The sequence below is a fragment of the Homo sapiens genome, chromosome 3 (genome assembly GCF_000001405.40).
Source record: "Homo sapiens chromosome 3, GRCh38.p14 Primary Assembly".
Taxonomy (NCBI): Eukaryota; Metazoa; Chordata; class Mammalia; order Primates; family Hominidae; genus Homo; species Homo sapiens.
In genome coordinates, this window is record NC_000003.12 from 57,445,636 (window position 1) to 57,458,417 (window position 12,782).

The window sequence follows — 12,782 nt, forward strand, 5'->3', positions numbered from 1 at the left end:
ATGGAAAAAAATCATTTTGAATGGATTATGCTGGGTTTTTTTAATTCACGAACTTACACTCAAAAAATATTGGCTGGGTACAGTGGCTCATGCCTGTAATCCCAGCACTTTGGGAGGCTGAGGCGGGCGAATCATGAGGTCAGGAGATCAAGACCATCCTGGCTAACATGGTAAAACCCCGTCTTTACTAAAAATACAAAAAATTAGCCAGGTGTAGTGGTGTGTGCCTCTAGTCCCAGCTACTCGGGAGACTGAGGCAAGAGAATCGCTTGAACCCGGGAGGTGGAGGTTGCAGTGAGCCAAGATCGCGCCACTGCACTCCAGCCTGGGCAATAGAGTAAGACTGTTTCAAAAACATAAAATAAATAAATAAATAAATAAATAAATAATATTACCTTAAGATTGTCCGGCAATTCAGAGCGTCCTGCATAGCCAGGATTCATGGTAATAGCTACAAAACAATTCGGATTGAGCTTAAGTTCTGTCCCTTCAAAAACAAACACAACCAACTTCTGTTGAATAGCTCTCTGAATGCAAAGGATCTGTTGAGCTACCACTGACAACACTTCCAACTCAATTCGATTGAATTCATCAAAGCAAGCCCAAGCACCAGAAGAAGCCAGTCCTTTAAAAAACTAAGGACAAAGAAAAAGGAAAGTGATTTTTTTCTCAGGAAAGGATATCATCTCTTAAAACAAATACCTAATATTTTAAGTCAGAATTGAAAGTTAAATTTAGTAAAAGTTCCAAGGATAAAAACAATGTCTTTACTCCTAAAATGAAAGTCCAAGTAATATTCAAACCACATTCATGTTTAAACATGAGTTTGCTTCCATTTATCCAATTAGACCTAGCTGTAAGTTTGAAACATTTAATATTATTGATTCAGCAATTTAACTACCTTTCCCATTGCTAGATAATCTAGCCCATCAGAACAGTTGAACACCACACACTGTACAGCAAGAGCTTTAGCCAAGTCCTTGGTGGTTTCGGTTTTTCCTGTGCCTGCTGGCCCCTCTGGAGCACCTCCAAGGTTTAAATAGAAAGCACCTATCTGAAATGAAAAACACATGTGAAAAGAAATCCATGCTTAAATTTAAAAAAACAACAGACACTTGTTTACCAAATGGATTTAGCCTGTTCTGTAGCTTCAGAGAAGCCATTATATAATTACATTGTTTAATTTTTAGCCCAAATTTTTCTAGCTGCATGAAGAGAAAGCATTTTAAAACGTTCAAAAAAGTGACAATGTATCAAAACTTGTCTTCTGACACTTTCATAGGTATCCCATTTGTTTTTAAAAACAATCTAGCCTTATGGGGGTAAAATTAGTTCAGGAAGGTTTTAATTAGAAGTGGTTGTGGAGATGGTTGTGGAGGACAATAATGACACATTCTAGATGGCTCACTGCAAAGGGGGTAAAACACCAGAAAGTGAGAGCTATAAATGGCACCCATGATTGGGAAAAGAAACAGATGACCTATTATATAATTTTGTCTACGATTTGCCTGGCTATTGCCTTTTACTCTTGGTATGTTCTCCATTTTCTACATTCCCATAAAACTGCTCTATGCTTCTCTTACCGGTAGTATCACTTTCTACCTTGTATTATACTTAATTACGTACATTCTTTTTTCTCATCAATTAGTCTTTAAAGTGCTTAATGACAATATCAGCAGTATTTGAATTATTCCTGGGTCCCCACAATGACTGGAATAGTGGCTGGAAATTTTTAGAAACATAAATTACAGTCAGCTCTAACTATGGAGTCTGTTTCACGGGAGTTTCAAATTTAACTTCTTTTAGAAAAAGTACGGCTAAGTGACCAAGGCTGTGCATGTAAGGGGGGTAGGGGGAATAAGTGAACTCTGCAGTTTGCTCTTAATTTTGCTATGAACCTAGAACTGCTCAAAAAAAGGTCTACCTTTAAAAATAAGTAAACCACAAAGTGATAAATATTTTTACTTTATTTTTACTTTATTTTAAAAATCCAAGAGAGACAGCTAGTGTAAAAAATGCAGTATCAGTGATAGTTCATCCATTTTATTTTATTTTTTGAGACCGGGTCTTGCTCTATTACCCAGGCTGGAGCACAGTGGTGAGATCTTGACTAGGTGCCCCTCTGCCTCCTGGGCTCAAGCAACCCTCCCACCTCAGCCTCCCGAGTAGCGAGGACTATAGGTGTATGCCACCACACTCAGTTTATTTTTTGTATTTTTAGTAGAGAAGAGGTCTCACTGTGTTGCCCAAGCTGGTCTCAAACTCCTGAGCTCAAGCCATCCTCCTGCCTTAGTCTCCCAAAGTCCTGGGATTATAGGCATGAGCTACCACACCTGGCCAACCTATTTTAAATTTATAATGGATGCCATATTGTTAATGCCCATTAACTTGATTGCTGAAAACCTCGGGCTCTTCCTTTTCAATTTTAAGAAAATGTTCACAAACATGTTCCCTTTATTGTGAATAATAAATATACTAGTGTGTCTGGAATTGGTGGGTGCTTGGTCTCACTGACTTCAAGAATGAAGCCGCGGACCCTCGAGGTGAGTCTTACAGCTCTTAAGGTGGCGCATCCAGAGTTTGTTCCTTCTGATGGTCGGATGTGTTGGGAGTTTCTTCCTTCTGGTGGGTTCGTGGTCTCGCTGGCTCAGGAGTGAAGCTGCAGACCTTCACAGTGAGTGTTACAGCTCTTAAGGCAGCACGTCTGGACTTGTTCATTCCTCCTGGTGGGCTCGTGCTCTCACTGGCTTCAGGAGAGAAGCTGCAGACCTTCGCCCTGAGTGTTAAAGCTCTTAATGCAGCACGTCTGGAGTTGTTCGTTCCTCCCAGGGGGGCTCGTGGTCTCGCTGGCTTCAGGAGTGAAGCTGTAGGTCTTCGCAGTGAGTGTGACAGCTCAGTGGACCCAGAGTGAGCAGTAGCAAGATTTATTGCAAAAAGCAAAAGAACAAAGCTTCCACAGCGTGGAATAGAACCCGACCATGTTGCCAATGCTGGCTCAGGCAGCCTGCTTTTATTCTCTTATCTGGCCCCACCCACATCCTGCTGATTGGTAGAGCGAGTGGCCTGTTTTAACAGGGTGCTGATTGGTGCATTTACAATCCCTGAGCTAGATACAAAGCTCTCCACGTCCCCATCAGATTAGTTAGATACAGAGTATGGACACAAAGGTTCTCCAAAGCCCCACCAGAGTAGCTAGATACAGAGTGTTGATTGGTGCACTCACAAACCTTGAGCTAAACACAGGGTGCTGATTGGTGTGTTTACAAACCTTGAGCTAGATACAGAGTGCCGATTGGTGTATTTACAACCCTGAGCTAGACATAAAGGTTCTCCAAGGCCCCACCAGAGCAGCTAGATACAGAGTGTTGATTGGTGCACTCACAAACCTTGAGCTAAACACAGGGTGCTGATTGGTGTGTTTACAAACCTTGAGCTAGATACAGAGTGCCGATTGGTGTATTTACAACCCTGAGCTAGACATAAAGGTTCTCCAAGGCCCCACCAGAGCAGCTAGATACAGAGTGTTGATTGGTGCACTCACAAACCTTGAGCTAAACACAGGGTGCTGATTGGTGTATTTACAATCCCTGAGCTAGACATAAAGACTCTCCATGTCCCCACCAGACTCAGAAGCCCGGCTGGCTTCACCTAGTGGATCCCACACCCGGGCTGCAGGTGGAGCTGCCTGCCAGTCCCACGCTGTGCGCTCGCACTCCTCAGCCCTTGGGTGGTCGATGGGACTGGGCGCCATGGAGCAGGGGGTGGTGCTCCTCAGGGAGGCTCCGGCCGCACAGGAGCCCATGGAGTGGGTGGGAGGCTCAGGCATGGCGGGCTGCAGGTCCCGAGCCATGCCCGGCGGGAAGGCAGCTAAGGCCCGGTGAGAAATCGAGCGCAGCGCTGGTGGGCTGGCACTGCTGGGGGACCCAGTACACCCTCCACAGCCACTAGCCCAGGTGCTAAGTCCCTCATTGCCCGGGGCCGGCAGGGCTGGCCGGCTGCTCAGAGTGCGGGGCCCGCCAAGCCCACGCCCACCTGTAACTCCAGCTGGCCCGCAAGCGCCGCACGCAGCCTTGGTTCCCGCTCGCGCCTCTCCCTCCACACCTCCCTGCAAGCTGAGGGAGTGGGCTCCAGCCTTGGCCAGCCCAGAAAGGGGCTCCCACAGTGCAGCGGCGGGCCGAAGGGCTCCTCAAGTGCCGCCAAAGTGGGAACCCAGGCAGAGGAGGCGCCGAGAGCAAGCGAGGGCTCTGAGGACTGCCATCACGCTGTCATCTCTCACTAGGAGACTTTTTCTCAGTGTCTAGTGTTATATTCAAGCGTTTAATATGATCCCGGGTGGGCACAGTGGCTCACACCCGTAATCCCAACACTTTGGGAGGCATAGGCAGGTGGATCACTTGAGGTCAGGAGTTCAAGACCAGCCTGGCCAACATGGTGAAACCCTGTCTCTACGAAAAATACAAAAATCAGCCAGGTACAGTGGCACATGCCTGTAATCCCAGCTATTTGGGAGGCTGAGGCAGGAGAATCACTTGAACCTGGGAGGCGGAGGTTGTAGTGAGCCAAGATCGCACCACTGCACTCCAGCCTGGGTGACAGAGTGAGACTGTCTCAATTTAAAAAAAAAAAAAGGTGGCCCAGTGAGGTGGCTCATGCCTGTAATCCCAGCACTTTGGGAGGCTGAGGTGGGCAGATCACCTGAGGTAGGGAGTTTGAGACCAGCCTACATAACATGGAGAAACCCTGTCTCTACCAAAAACACAAAATTAGTTGGGCGTGGTGGCACATGCCTGTAATCCCAGCTACTTGGGAGGCTGAGGCAGGAGAATCGCTTGAAGCAGGGAGGCGGAGGTTGTGGTAAGCCGAGATCGCACCATTGCACTCTAGCCTGGGCAACAAGAGCGAAACTCCATCTCAAAAAGTGTTGAATATGATTCTGATTTTTACAACTCAAAGTTGTTAGCCCCCACCTTACAAGCACACCACAGCTTCTGACTTCACAGAGGTAACAGATATGACATCCTATTTTGAAATTCATCTGCTCAACAAATATTTAGGGATAACTGTGTCCTTGTTCAGCACTAGAGTAGAGAACAAGACAGACATAGTTCTTGCCCACAGGCAGCTACCCGAGAAAATAAAGGGTTTGGTGAAATCTTTTCTCCCAGATCCATTGTTGCCCTACCCAGAGCCCCTTTACCCAGCCATTGCATTCATCCCCCATTTGCTGTGTCAGTTGCAAATAGTTCACAGCTGCTCTTTTCTCCTTATCAGCAAGAAAATGCCTGAAAGCTTACTCATATCCCTGCCCCAGGGGTGACCCTTAGTCAATGACATTAAACGGGTACAAAAGTCAGACCCTGCTGCTTTGAAGTGGAATAATTCGTGCCATTCATGCTTCAGAGTGCCCTGTGAGAGCAGGCTACAACTGTACATCTGTTGAAACCACATCTTTGCTTAACTTTTTACTGTCCCATCCTGCTGTCCTTATTTCCCTACAGGTTTTTACTAAGAACATTACCTAATAAATCCTTTGCACAAGAATTGCCACTTCATTTCTGCTTTAAGATAACTCATTCGAAGACACTTTAATTTCACTTACTCAGCACAGGTAGAGTGGTACTTCTTGATGCTCCTTCTCAATTCCCGTAGGAAGGGTTGCCAGATTTAGCAAATAAAAATACAGAATGCCCAGTTAAATTTTATTTCAGATAACGGCCGGGCCCAGTGGCTCACGTCTGCAATCCCAGCACTTTGGAAGGCTGAGGCAGGCAGATGGCTTGAGCCCAGGAGTTCAAGACCAGCTTGGGCAAGCAACGTGGCTGAAACCCCATCTCTACTAAAAAAATACAAAAATTAGCTGGGTGTGTTGGCATCTGCCTGTAGTCCCAGCTACTTAGGAGGCTGAGGTAGGAGGATCTCCTTGAGCCCAGGTGGCAGAGGTTGCAGTGAGCCATGATGGCGCCACTGCATTCCAGCCTGGGCGGCAGAGCGAGATTCTGTCTCAGAACAAAACAAAACAAACAAAAAATTCTGTTACAGTGGGTAGCTAGTCAGGTATGAGCAGAGCCGGAGAGCGCGCCTCACCCCACACACACCAGGAGTGTCCGGTGACCATCAGGTGATGGTCAGGTGTTGTTAACTGTCTCTCTAAAGTAATAATTGGTCACAGCTGGTACCAGGGATGGGCGTGCTCCTAACAAACAGAAAACACCTGAAACTGGTGATCAGCTGTTTCCCCATAAGATCTCAGGAGTTGGGTGAGTGGGGAGAAGTAATGCAAGACCCAGGAAGTATGTCAATGTATAAAAGTCAAAAGGTCAAGCTGCGTACTTGATCTCTCAAGTCACTCACTTGGGCCTCCTTGAAGTGTGCTTTACCCCCTTTCGTTCCTGCTCCAACACTTAATGAACTTTCGCTCCTGCTCTAAACCCTGCCTCAGTCTCTTTCTGCCTTATGCCCCTCAGTTGAATTCTTTCTTCTGAGGAGGTAAGAATTGAGGTCGCTGCAGTCTGGTACCGATACAGATATGCTCCACTGGTAACATATTTTGGTGCCATGTGACTTGGGTAATTTCCACTGCTACCATTCAGATAAACAATGAATAATTTATTAGTGTAAGTATGTCCCATGCAATATTTGGGACATATTTACTTACATTAAAAAATTATTTGTTGTTTGTCTGAAATTCAAATTTACCTGGGAATCCTGTATTTTATCCGGCAACCACATTCCCAGGGTTTTTATAGTTGAACAGCTCTATCCTCCATAGCTTCAGCTCTGGATCTCAGGTCTCAGCACCACCCCCATACATTTCATCTCTCCATCCTACTTAACAGCACTAATTTGGTGTCCTAAGGCCCAAATGTACTTTTCTCATCTTCCTGTCATCTCTCCCAAGACGCCACTGCAAAAACTGATACCATTTTCCAAAGCTCCAGTTTTCTCATTATATTGTCAATACTCTCCTCTTTCTAATTATCCCCCATCGGAGTGACTCACAACTTTCATACGATAAAGTTCAAACACTCTTGTATGCTACAAAAGCACCCAGAAGTAAATATTCACTATTATAATTTTGCATAAAGAGAATTCAGGATTAGAAAGGGATAATTGTATTCAACTACTCCAGGTAAGACAAGAGAGAAAAGATGACGCTACAGCAAAAAGTAATTATTAATGTGTGAATTAAGATAATTTAAATGCATACCAATGTTCTGTAACACCTGTCAGTTAGAGGCGTAATGACAAGTCGAGGTGAGTTACCAAGATATTCATAAGCATATTTTACATTGCAATTAATGATACGAACTCGGGCATTCTCATTTTCCCAATAATATCGGAGCTGAGCAAGCCACAGGAAATCTGTATCATGTGAGACACCTAGAAAAAATAAAGTAAAATAAGACACATGATCCTTAAATGGAAATAATTTTAAAAAGAAGTATTTTATCTTTTATAACAGCAAATACTAAAAATAATTCATGTTTGCCAACTTATAAAAAAGATTGTGTTAAAAAAATTCTGTTGAGAGAAGAATACATATAGTACAAGTCTTTGTTTCCAGATGCTATCAACATTTTATCTTTAAAAATTAAAGAAAAAGTCACATACCCATTTTAATCATGTCCATGACCACATCTCTAGCATGGACATCAATAGTAACCAAAGCCCCCAGAGTGGTCCTGGTCTGCTTAGACAACTTTCCTCTTACCAGCTCTACAATCTCATTCAGTTGGTTCTGAAGTTCCTTATAATACTTCTTTAATCCCTACAAAATAAAAAAAAAAGCAATCTAATTGATGTCACATCATACTTAAAACATGTATTTTATATATTTAGTCTTTTATAAAACAATTCTGACTTCTTAATCTATCTCAATATAGAAATGAGTTCAAGCGTGGTGGCTCATGCCTAAAATCCCAGCATCTAGGAGGTTAAGATGGGAGGATCTTCTTTTTTTTTTTTGAGACTGAGTCTCTGTCGCCCAGGCTGCGGTGGTGGGATCTCGGCTCACTACAACCTCCGCCTCCTGGGTTCAAGTGATTCTCCTGCCTTGGCCTCCTGAGTAGCTGGGACTACAGGCATGTGCCAGTAGGTCTGGCTAATTTTTTGTGTTTTTAGTAGAGATGAGGTTTTACCATGTTGGCCAGGCTGGTCTCGAACCCCGACCTCAAGTGATCCACCCACCTCGGTCTCCCAAAGTGCTAGGATTACAGGTGTGAGCCACGGCACCAGGCGCAAGGTGGGAAGATCATTTGAGGACATGATTTCAAGACCAGCCTGGCAAAGCAGAGAGACCCCTGTCTCTATAAAAAAATTTTTAAATTAGCCAGATGTGGTGGTGTGTGCCTGTGGTCCTAGCAATTCAGAGGCTGAGGCAACAGGATAGCTTGAGCCCAGGAGTTTGAGGTTATACTGAGCTATGACTACGCCATTGCACTCCAGCCTGGGTGACAGAGCAAGACCCTGTCTCTAAACACACACACACACATACACACATGGAGAAATGAATTTTGTGAGTGATTTTGTCTAAGCCCAGTAAAATATTAAGAACAAGTTCTCAGGCCAGGTGCAGCGGTTCATGCCTCTAATCCCAGCACTTTGGGAGGCTAAGGTGGGCGGATCTCCTGAGGTCAGGTGTTCAAGACCAGCCTGACCAACATGGATAAACCCCATCTCAACTAAAAATACAAAATTAGCCGGGTGTGGTGGCACATGCCTGTAATTCCAGCTACTCGGAAGGCTGAGGCAGGAGAATCACTTGAACCTGGGAGGCGGAGGTTGCAGTGAGCCGAGATCATGCCTTTGCACTCCAGCCTAGGCAACAAGAGCGTAACTACATCTCAAAAAAAAAAAAAAATGAATAGTTGTAATTTTAAGATTATATATAGAAACTGACAGACGTATTGTCTTTGCAAACAATAGATAAGTTAACTAAGAAACATAGGATGGGGCCAGGCACAGTGGCTCATGCCTCTAATCCTAATACTTTGGGAGGTTGAAGTGGGAGGATTTCTTGAGGCCAGGAGTTCAAGACTAGCCTGGGTAGCATAGCAAGATCTCATTTCTAAAAATAATAAAATTAAATTTTAAAAAACCTGGAATGAAGGATGTTACTTAAAAGCAAACAATGCTTTACCTCCGTCCCGCCACTTATCACTTCCTGTGTCTCAGATGTCCAGAACATTTGAGAAATACAAAGTACAACTTGGCCAGGCCACTCTCGAACCCAGTCTCTTCTTGCAGATTCTGGATAAGCCTGAACAATTAAAATAAATTTCTAACTTTAAAAGCTTGAATGAGAAAAAATAGCTAAATGTCTAACAATAGAGAAATGTAATATTTGGCACATACATAGGCTAGAATGTCATATAGTCATAAAAAATGTTAAATGACTAAAAGACTCCCTCCAAATTTTATAAATTATTATTATGTTTTTGAAATATTTATTTATAAAAGAATGGAAAGATAAACACCAACATGTTAATAATGGGTAGATTTAACTGTTGATTCTTCTGGAAGTTGATTTCTGTGTGATTTTTATGTTCCTTTGCTGTGGAGAGTTGTCAAGTTTTCTATATAGAATACCTATTACTTCTATCATAATAAAATATAAAAATTTTAGTAAACTTAGAAAAAACTAGTCAAGGCCAGGGTGGTGACTGACACCTGTAATCCCAGCACTTTGGGAGGCCGAGGCAATGGATCACCTGAGGTCAGGAGTTCGAGACCAGCCTGGCCAATGTGGTGAAACCCCCATCTCTACTAAAAATAAAAAAAAAAAAATAGCTGGGCATGGTGGTGGGCACCTGAAATCCCAGTTACTAAAGAGGCTGAGGCAGGAGAATTGCTTCAACCTGGGAGGCAGAGGTTGCAGTGAGCCAAGATCATGCCACTGCACTCCAGCCTGGGCAACAGAGTGAGACTCTGTCTCAAAAACAACAACAACAACAACAACAAAACTAGTCAAATAGATTATGTATATTGATGCCAAGATTTAATTGAAAAGGAGATTATACAATATAGTTAAAAACTGCACTAATAGCGCCCTTGTATTATTTATCCATAGCTTTTCTGAAAACCTATATGACCAGGGTATACAATTTTACAATTATATATTTGTTCAATTATGCATAATTGAACCATCTATAGTTTTGAATTCAAGGTATACTTTCATTTTTTCTAACACTTTGATATTCAAAATGCATTTAAATGGATTTATGGAGGGAGAGGTTTAATCTTTTTAAAAATAGCTTTTTCAACAGTAAGTGATTTTAGCAGATCCAAACTATAAATTGAAAACAACTACAGAATGAATTTTGAAGCTGATGCTAATGCAAATTATATTTTCAATAAAATAACATCATCTTAGATATAAGAAAGTTAAAATAGGATATCAGTATTATTATAAAATGCTTCTTAGCCATATTTAGAAACAAATGCAAACGATAAGCTAACCTAAGCTTCAAAGAAGGATGAATGGTGACTGAGAGCTATTGCTAGGTACATAGAAGGTCAATTTCTATACTGATTAAAGAAATACTTTCATGGACAATGGTGGCTCTTTCCTATGTGTTTTAGTTTGCTTTGAATCATAAATAGTAAAAGGAGAGAAAAAGTCAAGATTTATTTGTAGGAACACTGAAGCTGAACAGAATAGCCACCACAAGAAGATGAGCTCCATAGGGCTCTCGGTCAAAGAAAAAGAACACTCACTCACATATAGTGAGTTGCTGAATATAAAGCTTCGATGCCTTTTAAAACTATTCTACTACTTTACAACTGCTCATTTGTGGTCCTAAAGGCAGAAATATACGTGTTTATCATTCAAGATTAGGTTAATTGGATTAACATAAGTGAGATACATGTAGTGCCAAGTGTTATCCTTCTTTCAAATTTATGACATATCCCCCTTTAATGTTTGTTCATCTCATTTGAGTTTTTAAGTAGTTGTTTAAGTGTAAAAAGCAGTAAGTGAACTAGGTCATGCATTTACCACTCGTGTCTGAAGAGAACTGTCCTACAGATCCACATGTGCTAATGTGCAGGATTGTTTGCCTATGAAACATATCCACTAGCCTAGCTCATAGCATTTCAATTTTAATATATCTAAAATTGAGCTCTTGATATTCCCCTAAGCCTCCACAAATCTGCTTCTCCTCCAGGAATCACCCAGAGTAAATGCCACCCATATGCTCAAATTAGAAGCCTAAAAGTGATTTTTGAGAACTCCCCCTCCTTACCCTTGTACTCTACAACAAATTCATCATCAAGACCTGTTGAAATTAACTACAAAATTTATTTCTGATATTCTACTTTTCTCCCTATCTTCTGCCATTTGCCTAGTGACAGACCACATCTTTTTTCCTTTATTTTTGGTTTTTATTTTTATTTTTTGAAACTGAATCTCTGGCAAACCAGCCCAAATCATCTTTCATCTGAACTAATCTGAGTCTCCTAATTTGTCTTCCTGTTTTCACACCTCCACTAATCTATTATTTATACCATAGCCATAGTGGTATAAAAATATAAATCAGACTATGTCCCTTCCCTGATTAAAATATTTAGATGGTGTTCCATTGCATTTAAAATAAAATGCAAACTCCTAACTGCCTTCCTTTCCAACCTCATGTCACTTTACTCTCCACTTTGCTTACTCTACTCCAGACATATTTGTCTTCTTTCAGGATCTCCCAAATCCCCAGTTCTCTCTGATTCCAGGGGCTTTACGTAGGATACCTAGATGCTCTCTCACTTGCTCTTTACCTGGCTTATTCCTACCTGTCCTTTGTGTCTCAGTTTCAACATCACCTTCTCCAATAGCCTATCACTGGACCTTCCCCCATTCTAAATTATATACCTCTTATTTTTCTCTCTCATAATACCTTTTCTCTTTTATAACAATCATATACTATTATCAATTCATAGCAATATTGTTATATTAATAATGTTAGAAACAAAGAAGTAAAGAAAATAAATGATTTAAAATAGTAAGAACTTTAAGTGTTAATTTACTGGTTTCCAAAACCTCTTAAACAAAGCATTTGCAGAATATAGGGTATATATCAAATCCTAGGAAACACACCAGCCTGGCTGCAGCGATCACATCGTGAACACTCCGGAGCATTAGGTCTTCCACTTGAATGAGCCACTTTTCCACAGCACCCCGCGCTGCAGACGTGGAAATGAGTGCAATCAGCTCCACTCGCTCGCCCTCAGAGCTATACATGGCTTTAATGTCCAAATTGGGAAGGAACTCTAATTTAGCAATGCCCTCAAAGCATTTTTTTAAATGTGGCTGAACTCTAAGTGGATCTTTGGTCTCTGATAAAATCTCTAACATTTCATCATTAGATAAGAAGAAAAAACTAGGGAAAAACATGCAAATACAAAAGTTTTAGTTATAATTCATCACACATAAGAAAATGTTTTTAATTACAGCACAATTGATTATTTATCATACCGAGGGAAGAAAAGACGTTTCTTTTCAAGATATGCGTTAAGACCTTTCATAATTTTCTCCAAAAGTTCATTGCAGTTCTGTAGTTTTTCCAATAAACCTGTTAAAGAAGTGGCAGCAAGAACCTAAACGAGACACATGCATTCAAGTCAGCACTTTTATGCCAGATATAATTATGACTTAAATATCAATCTATACTATATGTTAAAATCTTTTAATGTTAAAAGGTTTATGAAAAAATGTCAAAGGTTTATAAAATTTGCAATGAAATTTTTTGTAGTGTAAAAACTATTAAAATTCAATAAGTTACAAATACTTATCC

The 12,782-nt window shown here is 41.6% G+C and overlaps 1 protein-coding gene across 10 annotated transcripts in view, besides 1 other annotated feature; it reads right to left on the reverse strand.

Moving 5' to 3' along the window:
- Nucleotides 1-12,782, reverse strand: part of DNAH12 (dynein axonemal heavy chain 12) — a 262,335-nt gene that overhangs the window by 151,936 nt on the left and 97,617 nt on the right. For 8 of the 10 annotated variants that reach the window (XM_047447667.1, XM_011533468.2, XM_047447668.1 and 5 more), the window contains 7 exons: nt 12,464-12,585; nt 12,086-12,368; nt 9,140-9,259; nt 7,612-7,768; nt 7,208-7,380; nt 902-1,054; nt 396-635 (listed from right to left, as the gene is read on the reverse strand). In XM_047447667.1, coding sequence (XP_047303623.1) covers nt 396-635; nt 902-1,054; nt 7,208-7,380; nt 7,612-7,768; nt 9,140-9,259; nt 12,086-12,368; nt 12,464-12,585 — 1,248 coding nt within the window. Of the gene's footprint in view, nt 1-395; nt 636-901; nt 1,055-7,207; nt 7,381-7,611; nt 7,769-9,139; nt 9,260-12,085; nt 12,369-12,463; nt 12,586-12,782 lie in introns of those variants that run through there. The other 2 variants (XM_017005862.2, XM_011533474.2) reach the window with 2 other exon arrangements.
- Nucleotides 3,587-4,500: an enhancer, noted in NCBI's record as "H3K27ac-H3K4me1 hESC enhancer chr3:57434949-57435862 (GRCh37/hg19 assembly coordinates)". NCBI's record gives its function as "activates a minimal SCP1, AML or CMV promoter by ChIP-STARR-seq in naive and primed H9 embryonic stem cells {active_cell/tissue: H9 hESC(naive and primed)}" and the evidence as "EXISTENCE:reporter gene assay evidence [ECO:0000049][PMID:30033119]".